The sequence below is a fragment of the Homo sapiens genome, chromosome 4 (genome assembly GCF_000001405.40).
Source record: "Homo sapiens chromosome 4, GRCh38.p14 Primary Assembly".
NCBI lineage: Eukaryota > Metazoa > Chordata > Mammalia > Primates > Hominidae > Homo > Homo sapiens.
In genome coordinates, this window is record NC_000004.12 from 18,789,598 (window position 1) to 18,807,436 (window position 17,839).

General features: G+C 35.2%; 1 long non-coding RNA gene across 3 annotated transcripts in view; it reads left to right on the forward strand.

The window, feature by feature from the left end:
• The window catches only part of LOC105374510 (uncharacterized), a 428,164-nt gene that overhangs the window by 377,797 nt on the left and 32,528 nt on the right, over positions 1 to 17,839 (forward strand). For all 3 annotated transcript variants that reach the window (XR_001741602.2, XR_001741601.2, XR_925445.3), the window contains one exon: positions 12,716 to 12,835. This is a non-coding gene — a long non-coding RNA (uncharacterized LOC105374510). The remainder of the gene's footprint in view (positions 1 to 12,715; positions 12,836 to 17,839) is intronic.

Sequence of the window (17,839 nt, forward strand, 5' to 3'; positions counted from 1 at the left end):
AGAATTTTGTGAGTGAGGCTAAGAGTGGTGAGAGAGAAGATTGGATATCAGGCTGGGGCTGAGTCATATGGGCTCCTATTTGAAGAAGTGTGGCATTTGACCTGGAAAAGTGGAGAAAACTTGACATGTTACATCATTTCTTATTGGTTCAAAATAAAGTTTAGTGTTCATGTGTGACCTCTTCTCTATTTTTATTTCCTCTCTTTATACCTAACATAAGTGTGTAGAGCAAGGTCACCTTTTTCTTTACGGATAGAAGTTTGCATATTTTTGCTCTTCTTCTAATTCTCCTTTGTCACTGGGTAGACCACTCTGGGTGCTTCTGGGCCACAGTCTTAGGTTCTCAGAGAGACAGAGAAGGCATTGCCCCATTCTCCGGTATTTTATCAGTAATAAAGTTTATCGGTAATAAATCACTGTTTTATTGCTGATTTGGCTTATTGTGTGCTCCTCCGTGACTACAACCAAGAGAGAGAAGGAAAGAGGATAAATTAGTAGCCTCGTAGCCAGATTTATTTCAGTTAAGTGTAATGGTTTTGATATCACCACATAGAGTCCACAGAAAACTTAAATGAACAAAACACAATTTACACACAGAATAAATAAACCAGCTAAGCAATATAGAATCTAATCAGATTCTAAAATGCAAATGAAATCTTGCTGTTTTCTGCATTTTACACTGTAATTGGCTGTGTAAACCATGGGTAAATGAGCAAAGAATTATTAAAATGAAAAGCACTGTATAAGTAACCACGACTATTCTAACTAAAAGGGTCTCTGTTAAGAGAACAGTAAAGGTCATACCTATGAGGTTGGCAAAGTTTCAAGAATCCTCTAAGTATTTCTCCTAATAACCCTTAGAGAATGCTTCACTGACAGTATCCTTGTATTAATTTTGCTTTCTTTAAAAGCACTCTTAAGTTGCTTTACTCATGTAATCATCATGAAATCCCTATTGTTATTCGTTGTTATCACTGGTAGTATTAATATTGATGAATAAATATTATTATTATTATTAATTTATACAATTGAATTTAGTGGCAGAGCTGGGATGTTAAGTCATTCAAATCTAGAGTTTATGCGTTTAAGATGTGGTACTCACAGCACCACTGGAGGTTGTTATGGAGTGGGCTTTGCAGTCATATGGAACTAGATTCAAATCTGAGATCTGTTTCTCACAGGCTGCATGATATGAAATATCTCATTTACTTAGCGATGAAATCTTGTTTCCATATCTTTAAGTTGTGGATCCAATACATAATTCATCATTTGCAGTATTCAGTGAGTTAAAATTGGGAGAATGTCTAATACAGCATCTCTCCCCAGCATAGATACTCTATCAGGAACAATCATTTTCATGATTGCTGCATTTAAATAGCAATAGAGTAAATTCCAGCATTTCTGCATGACACTTCACCTTAAGAAAGTAATATGCTAACAATTGCTTGACTAAATTTGGCTTGGATATCTAAAATGTAACTGACACATTGTAAAATAAAAATGGAAATTCTATTAATTACAGACACAGGAATTAAGAACACATGCAAATTAGTTTATTATAGCTCTAATATTTACATGGATTGGTAGCAGGAGCTTTACATTGTGGTTAGGAGTCACACACATGCTTCTGTGAATGACATACAACCACACATCAAAAGACGTTTAGAGCCTAGACCCAAAGCACAGAGTTATTATACAACCAGGCTGTAAGCAGATTATTTTATCCTGTGGATTCACCTTTTTTATAGTAAATACTTTTGCAGGTTTTATGTAAATCCAAGTTAAAGAAATCCAAAAGCTATATTTAAGAAACTCATACTTGTTGAGCTCATGTATTATTTGTAGTCACTATTCTGTGTCTGGAGTAAGAAGGTCAAATGAACAGCATCCCTTAGAAACCCAGGCCAAGTCAGGGCCTGTTTTTGTTTGAATATTTCACATTTCTTTTAAATTGGAGTACTAGGTAAAATCAGGATAAAAGTTCAGTCTCCCATGATAATTTTTTTATTATAAGAAAGTTTTACACTGGCTATTATTTATTTAGCTAGATAATTCCATGGTTTATGCCAAATAATTTCCTGGTCATTTTAGATTTGTTTTCAATCCTTTCAAAAAGCCTATAGAATATTATTAGGGAACATGATTCAGCAGGACATTAAATAACTTGCAAGGATTATACATCTGGAACTGAAGCAGCCATTTGGAGTTTAGGATCTTTGGTTCCAAAGGCTTACCCTTTTCTCTATGCCATTCTTCCTCACACTTGCAGCTGATGAATAAAAAAGCTTTCAATCTCCCAGCATAAACGTAGTTATCTAGAAGATGTTATTTGAGTCCACTGTGATCTAATCAAAGTTTCTGTTCTTTTTTTTGTATCACATTTTGGGGTTGAATAAAAGGAATTGAATTGGAACATATGCTTCTGATTCTCTGTCCCCCACTTCCCCCAAAAAGCACTCTTGTCCCACACAATGTGAGGAGCTAGCACTAGATAGTTTAATACTTTATATAGTTGTATCTTTTTAAGATCAACATGTCTTGTTCCTTCAATCACAATTTCTGTCAGTTCAATTAAAAAAATTATCTAAGACCACTATTTGTCAGTATTCAACTATTTTTCTCAACCAGATAATTTCAAAACTTTTCACCTCATGTCTAAACAGGTTATTACTTTAAGTTCTCCAAGTCAGGGTGAAGGCCTTGACTTGGAAGAAAGATTATAGCAATATAAGACCAAAACTTATTTTATTACCAAAGTTAATTCTTTTGTCTGATTTTCTGAAGTGGAGAAAAATCTTTGGAGTGCTCACTAGTGAAATGTATTTAACATGATTCTTCATTTGTGATTTGGCATCTCTGGTGTATATATGGAGACTTTTTAAATTTCCATAAAGGGGAAAAAAGGTGAATAATTTGGAAAAGGGGGTAACAGAAAAACCACCTGTACTGTTTAAATTAAAAATGCTAAATTCGATGTCTATTTTTAAAACTATGCAAATGGAAAAACACATGGTCTAATTTTATTCATTCAATATGGAAATTTTAATGAATTGATATTCTGGGCATAAAAACACAATGCAGTTCGCCTGGACTAAGTTGTTGTTTGTACTTGTAAAGAGGATACACCACAGCACCCACCTTGGACCATTTGGTGACTCTGGCTCATGTATAGAGTTGCAATCCACACCCGTGAAGGTTCAGCCTCTAATTCAACACTGTGACGGAGAGAAGAATGCTTTGAAAGTGGTTGTGAAAAGTCTAGTGAACATCTGGGGATTTTTGACTGGCCAAATTTTATGTTTGTTCCTCTGATTTTTCCACTGAAGAACTCACCTTTCCATTCTACAAAGTCCTGGTGGAACTGTCCTCTGATTTTTCCACTGAAGAACTCACCTTTCCATTCTACAAAGTCCTGGTGGAACTGTCAATCAAGATGCCACTTTTTCCCTGGCAAATGGATTACATGAGTTCAACTTCTGGTTAGTTACTATAGCTCCCAGAAAGTGCATTTTGAGTCATGTGACTAAAAAATGCACGCCATAGGCAGCTCTCTTAGGAAAATTCATTATTTCCTGCTACGCCCACCTGAGGACTCCTCTGATAAATGTTTTTCCACCTTTCCTTTGATTCTGTGAGATGCCTCAAATTCTCAATGAACAATATGCAGTCTCTCGATTTTTCTTTCTTTCACTTTGATTAGTCAGATTTATTTTGCTTGCAACCAAAAAACATTAATAAGTGCATAGATTTTTAGAAATTTCACTTAAAAAAAGTACATTAAATAAAAACTACAGCACTACCATTTTATAGATTTGAAATAGTAATAGCATAGTGGTCATATTAATTTCCCTTTTTCATTCCTCACTCCTTAGACAAATTTCAACATATTTTTTTCTCTAACAATTTCAATAAGATAGGCTTGGATGATAGCCATGAACAATGCTGAGTTTTCAGGTTTTGGGAGAGAGGATGGTAAAATACAGGCTGAAGGGTACTAGATGAGAACGTATCTGGCTGCTTTTAAAGTGTAGATTAAGGAAGATAGTTGCATATAAATTTATTTTGCTTTGTTGTAGCTGATACGCACAAACACCTTTGTCCTTTATACCTGGCCTTCTATTTTATTAATACATAAAAAGTTTAATTTTATAATTAAATAAGTTACCACCCTGGTCTGTGATTATTCTCACAGTTTTAGAAAAGACATAGAAAAATACAAATTCCCACATGGAATAATTTCATTCAAGTGGAATATCAGAAGATGTTTCTCTATATATTTCTGGTCTCAAATGCATTTCTTAACCAATTAAATGAAATTTCAAAGCCATATTTATTGACCTTCTTATTGTATATCTCACTGATAGAGATGGGTTCTAGGTGGATGGTGAGGGGATCTTCTGTTCCCTTCATTTCACATCTGGGGTACTTTTGTCTGTTTCTCACTATAAGCAATCAGAGTTCACATGGAGCATGGATTTCCTCTTATCAAGGGGAAAAAGATGTAACAGCCAAAGATAACTGAAGATTGATCCCTCTTCCCACCACACACACACACGAATCCATGATGATATAATGTTAGGCCTTAGTACACCTGTGGGGGCTTTGTGTTTTAGCATACAGAGAGAAGTTTATTTGGGTAGCAAATTCCTAACTTTTGATATTTATAGGACATTTATTTTTGCCAAGCTTCTAATTTTACTCTCACAACAATCTTGTGAATCAGATTCCTATTTAATTTTATTTTAGAAGTAAAGAAACCAAGGCTAATAATTTAAGTGAGATGCACTAAGTTCCCCCAGATAGGAAATGTAGGAACTCAAATGAAAATCTTGGCTGTGTAGCACTAGAACCCACATTCTTTACATTATGCCACACTGCCTTTCCAAATTCCTCTCAGACAAGGCTGGCTCAGACAGCCTCTCAGCAGCACAGATCCCCAGATCTCCTTCTGTTCATCCGTGTCAGGTACCCACTTCATTAGTTTCAATTTATTGTACAGGTGAAAATAAAGCAGACTTTTGTTTTGGAGATTTTTAGCTAAAATTGCTCCACTCCTTTTAAAAATTTAATTTGTTTTAGATGAGAGAATACAAATACACATATACCACACCCCCAGTCTTCAAACTAACAGAAACCAATGTATTAATTCATTTTTACACTACTGATAAAGACATACACATGACTGGGAAGAAAAGGAAGTTTAATTTGACTTACAGTTCCACATGGCTGGGGAGGTCCCATAATCATTGCTGAGGGAAAAAGACACTTCTTACATGGTGGCAGCAAGACAAAATGAGGAAGAAGCAAAAGCAGAAACACCTGATAAACTCATCAGATCTCGTGAGACTTATTCACTATCATAAGAATAGCATGGGAAAGACCGGCCCCCCTGATTCAATTACCTCCCACTGGGTCCTTCCAGCGGGATTTCTGGGAAATATAATTTTGTGGGAATTCTGGGAAATACAATTTAAGTTGAGATTTGGGTGGAGACACAGTCAAACCATATCAGCCATATAGAAGGTGAGAAATTAAAATATCAAATTAAAAATTCAATGAATGATAGATCTCAAGGTTGGAAAGAGTCTTAACAGGCATCAGGCTCAATTCTAATATTTCTGAAGTTAGGCTGTGTAATGAGCTGTTGGCACAAGACCAATGTCATTTCATTAAATCATATGCCACATAATCACCACAAAGATTTATACAGTGTTTCCCATTTGTGCCAGACACCATTCTAAGTGAATTGCTGGTATAGTAATATTATATAGGTATTTTAGTTGATTTTCTGTTGCTATAACTAAACACCTGAGACTGAGTACTTTATAAAGAAAATAAATTTACTTCTTAAAATTCTTGAGGGTGAGATTTCCAAGAGCTTAGAGCTATCATCTGGTGAGGGCCTTCTTGCTGTGTCACAACATGGTAGAGGGCATCACATGGTGAGAGGTCAAGAGCACACATGCCAGCTCTGGCCTCTCTTCTTCTCCTTATAAAACCACCAGTCCCATCATGGGAGCCTCAACCTGATGACTTTATCTAATCCTAATTAACTCCCAAAGGCCCCTCTGCAATCAACATATGATTTGGGGGATTAAGTTTTCAACACTTGAAATTTGGGAGACACATTAAAACCATAGCAATAGTCATAGCCCATAATATTATACCATTATAGAGTCATAACCTATATTTATCCATATACAACCCATATAGTTCTCATAAGATGTTATTACAAAAACTATTTCATTTTAGAAATGAGGAATCTTAGGCATAGGCTTATTTGTGTTACAGTTGTATAGCTAGTAAGTGGCAGTTGGAATCTGAACTCAAAAAACGTGGCTCTGGGACTGTTTCATAACATTTCCTCAAGGGACTGGGGAATAGATCACTCAGCCTCTGCAAGGATCACAACATTACTCAGGCACCTTAAAGATGATGACATTGTGAGTGATGTTCTTTTCATTATCTCTTCTAACTTATTTTTCTGTTATATAGGAAGGCTATGGATTTTTATATATTTTGCTATTGGGTAACTTACTGACCTCCATTATTAATTATAATAGCTTTTCAATGATACCTTCTATGTTTTCTGGAAGCATGATAATCATGTCTACACACTTTTTTTCACTTTTTTTTTCAGTTTAATTGTTATACCCTGTATCAGCTTCCTGCTTTATCAGATTGGGTGTAATGTAGGTCTCCTTAAAAATTAATTGGAATGATGGAAATATTGTGGAATTTTTGATATGTTATAAGCAGGTAAGAAGCTTTTCAGGAATAATGTAATAATGGTTTGGGTTCAGATGATGGCATGAGAAATTCAATATCTATTAGAGAGAGATTTTATATTAAAAATTGACTGAACTTGGAGATACGGGATGAGAAAAAGTAAAAGGTTTTGAATCTGAAGTATGCAAGTCCAATTGATAATGATCAGGAAATTGACTGTGTTTTAACAGCTGTTGAATTCCACTGATCTATTCATCTGAAACAAAATTACTGAAAGGAAATAATTAAAGTTTTCAGCTTATAAACAGGTTTAGGAATGCTCCTTCTTTAAAGGAAATTCAAATACATTTTTATTTTTATAGCCTCTCCATGGTCTGATATTTAATATAACTACTTATAAAATACATATATAAAGTTAATATAATATTTATCTAATATAAAGTAACCTGAAAAGCATTATATGGATGAATATAAACTTTTAAAACTCTGAGATGGATAACAACCTGTTTTTCAAATTTAGTTTACTTCAAAATCATTAGAGTAGCTCTTAAAGCCCCAATCTTAGAGAGTCTTGATTCCATTAGTCTGGAGGGGAGCTTGGGAATCTACATTTTCAGCTATTAGTCCAGGTAATTTTGAAAAACTGGTCCACAGACTATGCTTTTAGATACCCTGGTCTAGGTCTTTACAGTCTACACCAGCACGTTGCATTTGTGTGCTGTATTTGATACACTTATCCTTGTCATTCACACACTGAATTTCAATACCGTCTAATGTTTCTTTGAGCATTACATGTTGTTAAATTTTTCCATATCCCTGTCCATATGGTTCTGACTTCTTAGAATGTTCTGATTTGCCTACCAGATTAACAAGCAGGCTATCCTTCTAAACTCTCTCCAGACTCAGGAGAGCCTTGGTTTCCACCCCCAGTTGGAGTCTCTGCATGCCACTCCAACATGCAGGGTGCAGCACAGTCCCCTCTCAGCTCTGGTGGAATAAAACAGAAGGACCATGGGTGTGGTAGCTTTCTTGTACACATATGGAAACCTCCATGACAGTCCCCAACCCGTGGAAAGATACTGTTCTTTGCAGAGCTTGCCATCACAACCAAAGGAAGATTCAACAAAAGTAAAAACCAAATTGAAAAAAAGAAAGTACTTCTGTTACTCCTACTTATTTTTCTTAGACCAAGGAGGAGACAGAACAATATTTAGTATGGCCTACTTCCTAAAAATAAAAAAAAGAGTACTGTATATATCTTAGCATAAGGAAAGACAAATCTGCCTGTACAAAGCTTGTATATACTTCAAATAATTACTGATAAAGAGTAAGGGAACATGATTAAAAATACACTACCACTAAAATTGAGGAATGATGACCAACCTGCTTCTGGATTCTAGGGTCGATTTAACTAACTGCAAGAGCAATAGAAATAGATTAAAAAACAAGTATATAAAATTACAGCTAGATATTAGGTTGGTGCAAAAGTAATTGTGGCTTTTGTCACTATAATGGCAAAAACAGCAATTACTTTTGCACCAACCTAATAGAATTAATTATTGTGTCTTATGGCACTGTAAGATGAGTGTAGTTAAGAATGTATTATATAGTTTCAAATAGCTAGAAAGAGGATATTGTATGTTTGAAAGACAAAGAAATAAATATTTGAGATGATGGATATGCTAATCACTTTAATCTGATTACTATATGTGTATCACAACATCACTATGTATCCCATAAATATGAATAATTATTAAATGTCAATTAAAAAGTTAAAGTTATATTTTTAATGATAAAAATATGGTGTGGCAACAACCAAAAAAAGGCACACACAATGCTGAACCAGAAATACCATGCTACCACACACCTTGGGCCTATTTACTTGACAGTACATAGACATATTCTACTCACTTCATATCCCTTCCAGCTGGCATATGACTTGGAAGACTGATTAGGCAGCTCTCTCAGAGACACTTGGAAAGCCAGGGAAACCTGGTGTTGAGTCATGGGAGCTGCACATCCCACAAATAAACTCTTGAGTTGGGACTGAAACACAAGGTGCCCTAGTAGCAGCAGTCATTGATGAAGTCAGCCTTGACCTTCTCTCTCTGATTCTATGAGTATCAGAGAGTCGTGTACTGGCTCTAGGAGTGCCTATTTCTGGGCCATATGCTAAGAATTTAACCGTGGGCTCTGCATACCACATCATGGTAACAGCCAGTTTTAAGAATAAACAAAATAAATGCACCCTATCCATTCAAACAAACCAAAACACTGCAGAGCAAGAGAAAAATAAATGTGATCCTTAAGACCATCCTCAAAGAAAATATTCCAAGCCATGTCAATCACTGGCAGTATCTATGGGGTAAAGTGATACTTCCAGGACCTGATTAAAAGGAGGCAGCACTAATTTGATGGAGATTTTCAAAAATCTATGCTTAGAAGCAGTCTCAGCATAACACCATTTATATAATTTGGAAGAAATTTCTCCAATGTGTCTTTATGTGTTTTTCTGGTGAAAGAAATAGGGAAATCTCTTCTTACCTCTCCTGGGTGGTCCAGTTGTTTCTTCATAGTAGCAGAAAGGGCACAATTTTTTTTTTTCAAAGATGCTAAGTGGAGGTTATTGCTCTGTCTTTTTGTCTATTGCATTCTTAGCACTGCCTCACTCCTACTTGTTTATGTAAGAGCCCAATAGGGGACTTCCATTATCTTCTTTTTTTTCTAAGTGTCACCTTCCTTGCTTTTTTCCTTGTTTCCTTTCTGCATGCAGGCATCTTCATTTTCATTTTGCTTCTTTGAAGGGAAAAGTAGTATACTCATTTAAAAGTATATCTCATTCAAAACATAAGAGAATAATAAATTGAAAGGGAGGACATGAATTGAGAAAATTACAACGCCAAAAACTACAACTGTAGGAGAGAAAAGACAAAAAGAACAGTAGATAGTGTGAAACAATCTAGGGTGGAACACTACAAAACTCTATTCAGAAATGCAACAAATTGGATATTCCCTTTAGTCTGTCAGTCTTCTAGTCTCAATTCTTATATACCATCTTTCTTTTTTTCCTGATGTTCAGTCTGAAGTATTTTCTCTCATGAAAAGAATGGAGTTTTTCAAATGCAAGAGCCTAATTAGGAAGAAGGTTTTCTATCCTTTCACTATTGCATTGTAAGTTTAAATTCTCTTTTTCTGCACTATTTACAATGGAGGCATTTGTAATAAAGGGTATCACAGTGGGACACTGCTGTCATTGGTAGTATCAAGATGAGAACTGTAGAGAGAAAATAGACATAAGTTCAAGTACTGTGGTGTCCATTCTTTGTAAGTGTTTTTGTCTAATGCAATAACAAGCAGGCACATACCATATTGGAACTACACTAAGTGGGTTGTGAAACATCTCGACAATTTAATGAGCCTCAAATTTAGTTTTGGAAAAAAAGTGCTCACTTCCAAATTTTGACACTACTCTTACAGGGTACTTTTGTTTAGCTTTCAGGCAGGAGCAAAGTAGAAATTGAGATGTTGGGGAGAAAAGGAAGCATTTTCATGGGAGGGATGTATAGAATATTAGTTTTAATCACATACAACAATGCTTCTCATGCACTTCTTTGACTCTTTAGTATGCATAGGAATCGCAGGGAGAGCAATATTCCCAAACTTTGCCACCAGCAGTTCTGTAAAAGAACCCAATAATTTTCACTTCCAATAAACTTCCTGGTGATGCCCATATTTCCAGTACATACATGGGCCTCACTTTGAGTAGCAAGGACAGAACGGACAATATTTCTGAAGAGAAAGAATCCAAATAAGAGATGCCTGAAATTATGATGTCATCCTTGACTCCTTCTTTCCCTTGAATCCTAACCCTCTATGCTCTCTCACCTTCTGCCACAATATCTAATCACTGAGTTTTGCAGAAATATCTCTCTAGTTCACCCCCTTCTTTTCACTCCCACTGTAGTTCAAACCCTACTTATTTCTTGCCTCGATCTTCAGTAGTATCTTGAGTGATTCTCCAGTCTCTGGTTTTGTCTTAATGTAATCTAGACTCCATGAAACTTTCTAAAATCAAATCTAATCAAACTATTCTTCTGATTAAAATCCAACAAAGGGCTCCAATTCTCTACAGAATAAAGCCCACACTTCTTAGCATTGAATGTTAGGCCTTCTTGATCTCCCCTGATCCATCTGTCCAGTCTTCCTTGTAGTAATAGCTCACTCTACTCACTGAAAGCAATGCTTTATTTATCTGACAGCCAAGTTGAGCTGCTTGTGGATTCCCAAACAGGCAAAGCCCAAGTCTCTCCCTTGCAATATCTTTACCTTTCAATCAGAAAACATTTTCATTCATTCTTCAAAAATATGACTTGAACATAAATCATCTGTCAAAATTTCCATGACTCTCAGGTGCATAGAACCCTCCCTCTTCTGTGGCCATTTGTGAACATGTAGTAATTATTTGCTTATTTTCTTCCCTTCTAAAACAGTGTGATTTCCTCAAAAGCAGAATGAAAAATGCAACTCATGCAGGATCTAGCACAAGGTTTACTCAATTAAATTGATTTTAAGAGAGATGAAACACTATTTAGGATTTTCATTTTTCAGCTGCAGAGAGAAGGGAGGAAAGATAAAGGAATTGTGCCAAAGCCACTAAAATAAGGACTACATAGTGATGTGATGTCTTTGCTAAAATGAGGTAGTTCAGTCAAACAGGATTTCTGTCTTGTTAGAAGGCTTACGTGGATCACTGTAAGGACCAAAAAACACTTGGGAACCAATGAGTGTGTCTGTATATCTTTGTGTTTCAATCCGTTTGCCTTAAGTGAATTGTTTAAATACTCAGTACAAATATCACCAATTGTATATAGAGCATGCAAATTGCTAACACTTAGGCTATTTTATTCCAGCTGTGCTGTGCTTAGAAAAACTGTTGAATATCCCTTACCTCATTAAACATGAAGCTTACAGCAAGTCTGAAGATTTACAAAGCACCTATTTTCCTATTAGCCAAGAGGAAAAAAGAAACTTCATAAAGTTTCTTTATAAATAACATAACAAGACACTTGCTCCCTTCCTCCTCTACCATTTCTGTTTGTATATACCAACCAGTGCCGCAAACATGGGTCACCATAAAATTACAGCACATTCTTAGATATCTCTAGTAGAGCTGGGGGAAACCCTTAAAGATTTCAACTTTAAGAGGGAATACAAGTTTAAAAAAACAAACAAACCTGTGCCCAAACAGGATATGAATAGGAAAGACAGTCATTAGATTGTGTAACATAAACTTATGCTGGCAGAAGTAGGAAAGCAGTAGACTCAGACAGAGCCACAAGGCAGGTGGTGATCTGATAAATGCAAGTTTTTAAATTGTGTGACTATGAGTTTTGGTTCTCCATATGGCTTCAAGGCAATCTAAGGGATTCTCCTAGAACATATGCCATCTTGTGTGTTTTTCATAGCCCACATTCTCACAGAAGTGTGACCCGTTTAACTTTTCTTGCTGTTTGCAGTCTATTAAAGCACTTTGCTTTCAACATGGGCTCTAGTCTGAAAAGAATGGAATAGAAGAGGAGGTTATTGCGATGATTCGGAGCTCTGATTTGATAATGAAGCTCACACATATGCCACTCATGATGCCACTCACAGAGCAGTGGGGCGAGCATCCCATTTCGTTTGGTTCATTTGACCCTAGAGCGTCCTCTTAAGCCTCCCTCTCCTACCTCTTATTATCATACAGGTAAAAAACAAATTCACACCTCTTGCAACGGCATTTTTGACCCATAAGAGTCCTTAAAGTAGCTCTACCCTTCCCATTGGAGAATACAATTTTTCCCTCTAGGAGCATACTGAGCTCACTGTTGCCAAGGAAATTGAGAGAACAGAGCACAATCATTTCCATTTTATTGTCTATTGTCCAGATGAATAAGATAAAATATAGCTTATGGATCATTTGTGTGCTAGTGTTATTCTCTTTTTTCAGATTCTCACCTGTAAGCTTGAATTATGTCTACATCATGCTTGGGAAATGTCCATATATTCTAAGCTTGAAACTGCAGTGATGAGGACGTCACCACTTCCAGAGAGAACACTTTACTACCAGGTAAGGCTCTGACTTTTAACTCTTAAAAATATACATACCACTTTCAAACTAAAAATTATGTAGTATTGGGAAACATCACCAATTCCTTCCTAGTTCCTTTTTGATATTATTTCTCTTCTCTTTAAACTCTTGGTTATTCTCCTCTGAATAATTCCCATTTTAAGTTTTACTCCATTTAATGTAATTTATGTAAAATAGTATATACTAATTTAATTTTTAATGATTAGGTATTTTCTAGTGTTTTTACTTTTGAAATACATGTAATTTCACAAGATGTTAAAAATAATTAAAGTTAACCCTTAACACCAAATACAATAAGGCTTTAAATTTTCAGTATATATGTGTGTGTACATATATACATGTAAATAGACATATAAATTGTTGTGCTCTGAATGGAGGAAAGATGGGTTTTAAGAGTCACATAGCAAGATTATCACTTCTAACATTTTCACTTTTTGTCCTTCCATTAATGCAGTATAAGACTACCAGAATGTTAAGTTGAAGTTTATAACATATCATTACATATTAGGTTTACCATGAAAAGGAATATCCCAAGGTTTTTTTCTTTAAAAAAATACATACCTTAAACTCATACTGTGTGTTTTTGACCCTAATAAATGAACTTACAAGAACTCTATCCATTGCTTTAGTATCATTTTGAGTCTGGCTACTTATTATTAACATACTTATTATTAACACCTTGCCTTCTATTGCTTTGTTTCACTGATTTAAATATTGAACAGAATATTCTGCCCTATGGTAAATCTTTCCAGGTTGAAATGTTTAATTTGTAAAAAATGCAGATTTAATATCTCATGACCAAGTACAACTAATCCTGGGAATGTGATTTTTTTCAGCATATGACATTTAATTAGGATAATTCATTATATCAACAATTTAGAGAAAAATCACTTGATCCTCTCAGAATATACAAAAGAAAATGAAATTAACAAAATTCAACATCCATTCATGATAAAAATTCTCAGCAAAAGAGGAACAGAAGAGAACTTTCTTAACCTGATAAAGAACATCTGCACAAAAAGATAGCTAACTTATTAATGATAGAAAACTAAACACTTGCCAAAAAGATAGAAAACAAGACAATTATGTACACTCTTACCACTCCTATAAATGTCACACTCGATATTTCAGACAGTTTACTGAGGCAAGAAAAAAAAAAAGAAAATCTATACCAACAGGAATAAAAGATCTAAAACTGTCTCTATTATTAGGCAATACAATTATCTATTTAGAAAATACCAAATAATCTACAAAAAAAAACTATTAGAACTAATAAATAAGTTTAGAAAGTTTGCAGGGTGCAAAGTCAATATACAAAAAATCATTATACTTCTCTATAATGAAAATCAACTATTTTGGAAGATGGCAAAATAAGAATTCTCTGGGTCCAGTCTTCTTCACAAAAATCCAGCTAGTAACTATCCACATGCAAGAATACCCCTGTGAATATTCCAGAACATGAAAGTGGGGCTGAGACAACTTCTTGGATTGCAGAACTGAGAACAGCTGTACACAAAGAGTAAGAGGAGTTGTTTCACTTTGATTATGTTATTTCTCTCCCAGCTGGCCCAATGCCACACACAGAGGATTCCTAGGAATCATCATTTTTACAGAGGGAAAAGAGAATTGGAGACAAACATTCATCATCTCCATCATTCTAAGACTTCTTGCAGGAGACACTCTCTTGTGTAGCCCCATAAGAAACATTGGGGGTATTGGTAGGGCTAGACCACCGGGTTTCAGTTAGAAACAAAAAGCAAGAATGGCGCTCACAGAGGCCACTGTAGGGATGGTTGGTTGGTTTACATTTTTTCTGCAAATAGCACTGCTCTGAAGAAAACATGGTTAATTGGTCTCCCAGGCTTGAATTCTTGGCTGGTTTTCACCTCCAGCCTCAGTGCTATCCTTGAAACTTCTCAAGGCCAGGAGATTGGGTCAGGCGGATAACTATCTGAAAAGGGAGAATCTGACCTCGCATGGCCCTTGCTGTCAACCTTCAAACCACTCAAGCTCTGGTGCACTCTTTAACCCTTCTCTGGGCAAAAAGGCAAGGGCTGGAGGGTGATTATCCACAAAAGGAGCATCTGTTCCCCCAGGTGCTAATTGGCTAATGTACCAAGCCTTGGTGCTTTACTTAAGACTACCATAGGATGGGAAGCAAACATGGTTGAGTAGTGATTCCAGGGACCCCATGTATGGGTAGAATCGATATTGTAAAAATTACCATATTGTCAAAAGCAATCTACAAATTTAATGCAATTCCTATCAAAATATTATCATCACTCTTCACAAAAGTAGGAAAAACCATACTAAAATTCATATGAAACCAAAAAAGAGCCTGCATAGCCAATGCAAGACTAAGCAAAAAGAACAAATCTGGAGGCATCATATTACCTGATTTCAAACTATACTACAAGGTTATAGTTACAAAACAGAGCAGTACTTGTATAAAAATAGGCACATAGACCAATAGAATAGAATAGAATAGAGAACCTAGAAATAAAACCAAATACTTATAGCCAACTGATCTTTGACGAAGCAAACAAAACTAAAGTGGAGAAAGAACACCCTATTCAACAAATGGTGCTGGGATAATTTTCAAACCACATGCAGAAGTATGAAACTGCATCCTCATCTCTCACCTTATAAAGAAAATCAACTCAAGATGGATAAAATACTTGAATCTAAGACCTGAAACCATAAGACTTCTAGAAGATAACATTGGAAAAACTCTTCTAGACATTGGCTTAGGCAAAGAGTTCATGACCAAGCACCCAAAAACAAAAATAAATAGATGGGACCTAATTATACTGAAATGCTTTTGCCCAGCCAAAGAAATAATCAGCAGAGTAAACAGACAATCCACAGAGTGGGAGATAAATCTTTGCAAACTATGCATCTGACAAAGGACTAATATCCAGAATCTACAAGAAACTTAAATCAGCAAGAAAAAAACTAATATTCCCATCAAAAAGTAGGCAAAGGACATGAATAGACAATTCTCAAAAGAAATTATACAAATGGCCTACAAACATAAAAAAAATGCTCAACGTAACTAAATATCAGGGAAATGTAAATTAAAACCACAATGAGATACCACCTAATTTCTGCAAGAATGGCCATAATTTAAAATTCAAAAAAAAAATACACGTTGGTGTGGATGTTGTGAAAGGTAACACTTTTACACTTCTGGTTGGAATGTAAACTAGTACAACCACTGTGGAAAACAATATGGAGATTTCTTAAATAACTAAAAGTAGAATTACCATTTGAACCAAAAATCTCACTACCGGGTATCTACCCAAAGGGAAAGAAGTCATTATATGAAAAAGACACTTACACATGCATGTTTATAGCAGCACAATTTGCAATTGCAAAAATATGGAACCAGCCTAAATGCCCATCAACCAATGAGTGGATAAAGAAAGTCTGGTATATGTACACCATGGAATACTACTCAGCCATAAAAAGGAATGAAATAATGGCATTTGCAGCAACCTGGATGGAGTTGGAGACCATTATTATTCTAAGTGAAGTAACTCAGGCATTAAAAACCAAATATTGTATGTTTTTACTTATAAGTAGGAGCTAAGCAATGAGGACACAAATGCATAAGGATTATATAATAAACTTTGCGGACTTTGAGGGGAGGGAGAGAGAGGGATGAGGGATAAAAGTCTACACATTGGGTTCAGTCTACACTGCTCGGGTGATGGGTGCATCCAAATCTCAGAAATCACTACTAAAGAACTTATCCATGTAACCAAAAATCACGTGTTCCCCCAAAACTATTTAAATAAAAATTTTAAAAATCCCATTTACAATAGCAAAAAAAGAGAGAAATACTTAGTTGTAAATTTACAGGGTGAAAGACTCCCTACTTAAAAAAATTATAAAACACTGATAAAAAGAAATTGAAGAAAACAAAGTAAATGGAAAGATACCTCATGTTCATGAATTGCAAAAATTAGTAATCTTAAAATTTTATATTTTCCAAAGCAATGTACAGATCACTTTCTATCAAATTCCAATGTCATTTTTTCACACAAATAGAAAAATATTTCCTATATTTTTATGAAACAACAAACAACTAGAAACAGCCAAACAATCTTGGACTAAAAGAACAAAACTGTAGACATCACACTACCTGACTTCAAAGTATGTTACAAAGCAATTATGATCAAAATAGCATGGTACTGGCATAAAAAGAGATTTTTCAAGGAAAGGAACAAGATGAAGAGCCCAGATAAATCCACATATTTATTTTCAGTGTTATTTTTTGACAAAGGTGCCAAGAACACACAATGGGAAAAGGATAGTCTCTTCAATGAATGGTGCAGTGAAAACTGGTTAGCCACATGCAGAAGAAGGAAATTAGACATTTTTCTTAATTCAAGCACAAAAATCAACTTCAAATGCATTAAACATATAACATAACACCTGAAACTATAAAACTAGTAGAATAAAACATAGGAAAAAACTACATGACATTGGTCTGGGAGAGGATTTTTTGGATATGACCCTGACAGCTTAGGAAAAAAGCAACAATAGACATATATGATTGCATCAAACTGAAAAGCTTCTGCACAGCAATAGAAACAATTAATGAAGTGAAAAGACAACCCAGAAAGTGGGAAAAAATACATGCACAACATACATCTGATAAGGCTTAATATCCAAAATATATAAGAAACTTGCACATCTCAATAGCAAGAAAACAAATAACCAGATTTTAAAATTGAGCAAAAAAATCTAAATAGGCACTTCTCAAAAGAAGATAAACAAATGGCAAAGCAGTTCATTTTAAAATGCTCATTATCCTTAATCATTAGGAAAATGAAAATTAAAACCACAGTGAGATCTCACCTCACACTGGTTAGAGTGGATTTTATCAGAAAGATGAAAGATAACAACTGTTGGTGAGGATGTAGAGAATAGGTAGCGCTTGTACAATGTTGGTGATGGTGCAAAGTTTTACAACCA